At 41.4% G+C, this 6668-nt stretch overlaps 1 annotated feature.

Annotated features, from left to right (window-relative positions):
• Positions 5266-6465: an enhancer, noted in NCBI's record as "P300/CBP strongly-dependent group 1 enhancer chr2:118880595-118881794 (GRCh37/hg19 assembly coordinates)". NCBI's record gives its function as "activates an origin of replication core promoter dependent on BRD2, BRD4, P300/CBP, MED14 and CDK7 cofactors, with strong dependence on P300/CBP, by STARR-seq in HCT116 cells {active_cell/tissue: HCT116}" and the evidence as "EXISTENCE:reporter gene assay evidence [ECO:0000049][PMID:35650434]".

Here is a 6668-nt window from a genome sequence, read left to right on the forward strand (position 1 = left end):
TTCAAAGGAAGGAGCAGACCCAGCTGGAGGAGGCCAAGGCCTTTCTCCTTGGATGGTATGGACAGGAAACCCACGTGGACAGATTCGTGCATGTTCTCTCAAGAACCGAAAGTCTGGTCTGGTGGTAGTAAAGTCGCAGGTAGAGGAAGTGGGTGGAAGGGAGGACTTCTAAAACATAGGGATTGGCTTCTCTTTGAGGATTTAAATGGCTCCTGTACTCATGTTTCTTCTCAGGCAGGATCTACAGCTGTCCATGGGGGTTCCTTTTAGGAGGCCTGCAAGTAAGACTGCCACACCCACCACAGTTCCTGGTGTTCCCTTTATTAAAAAGCATCATTGCCAGGCTCTTATGTAAAAAGAAGGCCGGGCGCGTTGGCTCACGCCTGTAATCCCAGCACTTTGGGAGGCCGAGGCAGGCGGATCACCTGAGGTCGGGAATTTGAGACCAGCCTGACCAACATGGAGAAACCCTGTTTGTACTGAAAATACAAAATTAGCCAGGCATGGTGGCACATGCCTGTAATTCCAGCTACTCGGAAGGCTGAGGCAGGAGAATCACTTGAACCTGGGAGGCGAAGGTTGCGGTGAGCCAAGATCACGCCATTGCACTGCAGCCTGGGCAAAAAGAGTGAAACTGCGTCTCAAAAAAGAAAAAGAAAAAGAACATTCTGAGTCTGATCAAGGTGTGTGATCTTGGGTTGTGGTGGAGAGAGCCAGGGAAGAGTCAGCTGTGGGAGAGAGAGAACGCAGGCTTTAACTCTGGGTGAGTTACTCGCAGACTGGGACGCTGGGCATGTTCCTCATGCTTTCTAAACTTCAGGTTGCTACCTGTAAGATGGAGACACAATACCACTTTTGTCTGAGGGCTGTTAACATTAACTGTGATAACATTTCAAAGGCTTAGCTCATAAGGGCTTTCCAGTGAAGTATTGGTTCCTTTCCCTCTCTCCTCATTCACTTCAAAGCATGAGTGTGGAGCCAGCACATTGGCATTTACTTTGGATTAGGTTGCTTCCCTAATGTTTCTGTCAAAATGAGAGGAAGCATAGTACACGAATCACTGTGCTTGCTGACACCTTGCCACAGCTCCACTCATCGGTTAGTTAACAGGGAGCAAATTCTTAAGGACATAGGACAGAAACTGGCTGGTTGTTATTATACTGATTAATTGATTGATTGACGGCAGGGATGAGGGTTTGGCCAGTTCCGGCAGGGGCTGCTTCCATGGAGGGAAGCTTAGGTAGGGTGCCGCAGGATGGCATGAGTCTGCTGGAGAGCGAGGAAAGGAGATGGGAGGTAGGAGATAGATTTTGTCAGCATCTTATTTTCACCTAGGGATGATGGCTCTGTCCTCATACTTTATAGTGTCACCACCGTGAGAGTGCAGTCTCCTGAGGGAGGAGTTACATTTTAATTAGCCACAAGGTACCTGATTTCTGATGTATCAGTCCTTTTCTCTAGGCCTCATTGTTTCGGATTATTTTTGCCCATGTCCTCCACTTGCCTACTCCTTTCATTTGTATCAGAAGGAAACCACCAAGCAGCCTGGAAATCCTGTTACCAGACCTCAGGATATTAATTGTCAAGTTCTCCCCCACGGTTACACAAGTGCTGAAAAAGTGGTTCTCTTTCAGTAGTGTCTTGTCAAAATGCCAGGCACAGTTTGTTTTTGACGTTTGCTGCTATTGTTAAATAATAGTCTTGCTTCTGTCATAGCTAATGTTGACTTGAAGGCATTTGGAGGGCATTTCTCAACTCCAGCCTTAACAGCAAGACCTGGGTCTTGACATATTTTTCTTGCTTGCCCAGGGCAACTGAGTATAAGGGTTGCAACCTTTGCTTTTCTAAGCTCCAAGAAAATTTCAGCTGGGTATGCACCACCTTAAGCCATAGATCCAGTCGTATTCACACATGCACACACAGACATAAACCCACAGACACAAAGACACACACACACAGACAAGTTGAAGTTCTTGAAGTTTTGCCATCCTAGGAATCACATTTAAATAACTTAAACAGTATCCCATATTAGGACTCCTCAAATCCAGCTGTTCTGCCTTGGTAAACCTCTATCAGAATGTCATACTTAATTACACATCTGTTTAAAAATCAACATGCATTTTTATTGTTTCTGTATTTGCAATGGAGCAAGCCCCTGAACGCTGCTCATCTAGCTGCATGCATGGCGTACCATCTGTCAGAGAGAAGCTGGGTTCTTCATGCACAGCGCTTTCTTGTGTTGCTATGTCCATTAGAAATTTCATTTCTGCTCCCTTTCCCACTTTTATGTGAAGGCATCTTTTGAGTTTTTCCTCTCAAGCCTTACAGGCGACATGTAGAGACCTTCTTCTAATGGGATCGTTATTTCTGAAATGTTCACCATTTATGAGGTAATGGAGAGGGGGGCAAGAAAAAAATGGGCAGAGTGAGTGAGAACTGCTCAAGAATTCTGTGGAACTGCGTAGGCGTTGGCATTATTTGTATGTGAAGAGGCCAAGAAATGCACAGTTGGTTTCAAAATAAATACCAAAGGAATGGTTAATTACACAAGTCTGTTTTGCATTTCTAGAAAAATAGAAATATGTCAGTCATTCGGATTTCCAATAACTAAGGCAACATGGGTTTGGAGGCTTATTTATATATGGAGTTGCAGATTGTAGACCTAATGGTGTGTTCTGCTACATACTTTTCCGTGAGTATCTCTATGTCCCTAAATTCAATTTCACTTTCTACCTTTGAGAATAATTTTTAGAGATTTCCAAAATTACAAAATGTGAGCATATGAATTATTCTGTCATCACCTCTTACATCTCTCAATTTTTAGAGATTTCCCAAATTACAAAATCTGAGCATGAATTGTACTACCATCACTTCTTTTTCTTTCATGAGGTAATATTATTTGAGAGACTAATTTTAGATGTCAACAGTTTGTCTTCCTCCGAGAGGAGTTTGGGTTTCTTTACGATAAACATGCAATTATCCCATGATGACTCGTATATATTAAACAGCCATTTAACTGACATATAAGACTCAGAAGAATGGTAAAGTTGGAAGAGGCACTAAAATTCATTTAGAACAGCCCAATCTTGTCATTTTACAAACGCAGAAGCAAAGCCACAAATTGATTACGTTTGTCCCGAGTTCTACAACCAGTCAGTGGCAGAATCAGACATTTCAGTAGCTTTAGCGTGATGTTACATTTCAATTTATGAAAGATGGAAATTTAATTTTATAATTATGCAAGGTTTACAGCAACATAGCATGTATGTTGACAACTGGTAGGAAATGGACATTTATGAATTATGAATGTTTCTATTATGAAGGGCAATTATTACCTTAAGTAGTAGCTGGTAATGAACACTGAATGCCTACTATGTGCTTTACATACACCACCTCATTTCAAGTCCCCAATAAAGCCATAAAGTTGATATTACAATCTATAAAGTATAAGGTCAGTACTTCATATGTGAAGAAACAGAGGCTTAGAGAGATTATACACAACCTGCTAAGGCCACACAGCTAGTATGTACAGCTGGGCATAGAGCCAGGCCCTTGTTCTTTTTCCCAGGATGCAATCTGCACTGCCTGTGGGTGTCAACACAGAAAGTTGGTGGAATCTGGTTTATTCCTATACAATGTTAGATGTGGAACTTAAACATATATGTGGAAGTTATGCTCTTGCCCTTTCTAAACAAGTGTAAGTTTTAATTGAGGCAAGGAACAACTTCACTAGTATAATTCTTGGCAAAGAAAGGAGTTCTGAGCCTGAGATTTACTATTTTGTGGTGCAGTAAGTTGGATGTCTTGAAACAAGAGGTTTGGAGAAAGATTATTTGCGTCATGACTTATTAAAGTGGAAATATTTATAAATCAAAGAATTGGGTTATATGGTCTCATAATGAAGAAGCAGAATGTAAGGTACACCTTACCAGATGCAATTTAATTTATGACTTACATTTGAACCTCTAAGTCATTAAATATAGTCTTCAATTTTAAGACCGAGGTTGGCATGTCCAGAAGAGAATAACTATGAAATGCACACATCGTTTTCTCAATTTTCATTAGACTTGCATATGAAAAAAATCACAAGCATTATTTATGAAGTTTGAAGTGATTTCTGCATACTTTGATCTTTTATATTTTGACATTCATGACCTTAGTGAAGACAGGACAGTAAAAATATGATTAGGCTAATTGTCAGATCAAGGACTCTGATTAATGAAAATAAATGGAAGAGGTTGATTATTTTTTTCTTCCTCTGCCCCCCTTTACCCTGGAAAGAATATCCTAGAAACCACATTAAACTGCACTTCCCCTGAGCACATCCTTCCTAACTAGGCTAGTCGTGAAACTGGAGTGCAAGGCCAGGTGGAGGAATGGGGTTGACTCAATGGCAATCCAAGGCTGACAGCTGTGCTAATGGATGACTTAGGCAAGAAATACAGTGATTGACTCATGAAATGAAAAGCAGGACTGGTCTCACGGACAGCTGGGATTCAGACTTCAGAAAGCCTCCATCAGGACTTAGCTTCTTTCCAGCCCTTTGCCCTTTCTGCTGTGTTGGCCTTAGTCTTGTGCTTCACAGTGGCAGGATGGCTTTGGCAGCTCCATCCTCATGTCCTCTCCCCTCCACATCCCACCTCTCTGAAGTCTCAGCAAAAGTCTCATGATTTATTGGCTTTGGTCAGGTCAGGTGTCCATTGCTGAAAACCAATTCCCATGGCTGGTTCTCCACAGAAAAAAATAAAATATGACAAAAATGAGGGTAAACGTAAAAAACAGAAAACAAACAAAAAAAACTGTCCTATGTCAGAGCCAAAAAATCATAATGAAGTGGAAGCTGCAAAAGCAAGAGAAAGGCATGAGTTACAGAGAGAAGCAGAAGTTGGAGATGAGGAAAAGGGGAGGATGGGGGAGAGCGAGAGGGAGGGAGGGAGACAAAGCATCTGACATTTTTCTACTTCCCCTGAAACCTGTGCTTTCCTTCCAATAAACTCTTTAAAAATGATTTAAAAGTTGAGTGGTTTTCTGTTCTTTGTAACCAAATGACCATGACTAAGATATTTTGCTAATGTTCCCTTTACCAAGTAAGGCTGGATTCCATGTGACATGTAAGTTACAGAGGCCCTACAGTTGACTGTGTTCCTCTGTGGGAAGAGAAAACTGCTTGCCAAACAGATCAGAGATTTTTTCTTTTTGGAGCAATTAGATATATGGTTTGAAATAAATGATCTTGGAGGCCCATGAAATTTGAGGTTCTGGGGTTCTCTGGTTTTCAAACAATACCTACACTCAGTTTCATGCAAAACTAACCATTTTTCAGCCCAGCCCAACTTTCTCACTTGGTGTAGAGGAGGAGTTGCTGTAGTTAAGCATTAACCGGCTGCACTTCCTCTTAAGTGGAATCTTCTTTGCAAGTGAGAACATTTAGGCCAAGGGGGTTGGAGACACCATTGAAGCAGTTCTCTTGAGTCTGAGCTGAACCACAAGGAGACCATTTCAGAATCTTGTTTGAAATGAAAACTAGGAGAACTGGGAAAGGAAATTCTAGAATCTCTCCAAGAAATTCATCCCAAATTTTAGCTACTTTCATCTTCATCTGGCGTTTACCACATACTAATATTAGGTTAGAGGGCTCGTGAGTCAATTTTTTCTTTAAGATAATAGGAATGCATTTTATTCAGTTTCTGCTGTAGGGCCCAAAGTAGGCAGGTAGTGGGACTACTTTATAGTGCCACGATTTGAGATAAAGACCGCTGTTTCTGTTCCCATACCCCTCACAGAGATTCTGTGTCACTAGAGGGCCAGGTTTCTGGGGCTTGCTGTCGATCTCACCTTGCTGGCTCATCGTGAATGAATGCAGGTGGAACACCACCAGTCACAGCATCAGAATGCCTTTCTGAAAGCCTCTTGTGTGGATTGTCCAGGAGTGTCACCCTTAGTCATCTGGCTTAGGTCCCTGCCCCACCCAGCTAAACAACTTTGATTTTTGGCAAGTCAAGTAACTCCACTGGGATAGAATGTCTTTGGAATTTCCGAATGAAATTCTCTTATCTTGCCAAAACCATTATGTCCTTTCTTAGTAAAGTTGATACACTGGGTCAGTCTCCCCAGATATGTCATAACTCCTTTCTTTTTTCATAATTACTGGAATGAATGTGGAATGGAATGAAAAAATAATAAAAATCTCACCATCTGAAGCCAAGCTATGCAGGGAGATGTTAGATCACTTTTGGCAACAGAGAAAGGCTCTGCAAGCTGGACTTGGAGATAAATACCAGCAGCTCATCCCTTTATGTACTATATTTTAATGGCCATCCTCTCCCCTGAGGGCTGACTAGTATTCTCTCCTATTGGCTAACATTAGTTCTTACTTGTTCTGGGAAAATGCCTGTTTCCAAGGGTGACACCCACAATCTATAAACAAAGAATGAAGGTCATGTGCATGGGAATTGGAGAGAGAGGAGGTGCTTATAAAAAATACAAGTCTTCCCACCTAGAAGGATTTGGCCCTTGTGGAATTTTAGTTTTCTTTACTTCCAATCCCCCCAGTCCTAAATCATTTTATATATCCTAGTAATATTAAACATGAATGTATTCCACAGCTGGGTGATTTATTCAGGACTCAAAAAGTATACATTATTTAGATAATATTTGATTACATCATC

The sequence above is a fragment of the Homo sapiens genome, chromosome 2 (assembly GCF_000001405.40).
Source record: "Homo sapiens chromosome 2, GRCh38.p14 Primary Assembly".
Taxonomy (NCBI): Eukaryota; Metazoa; Chordata; class Mammalia; order Primates; family Hominidae; genus Homo; species Homo sapiens.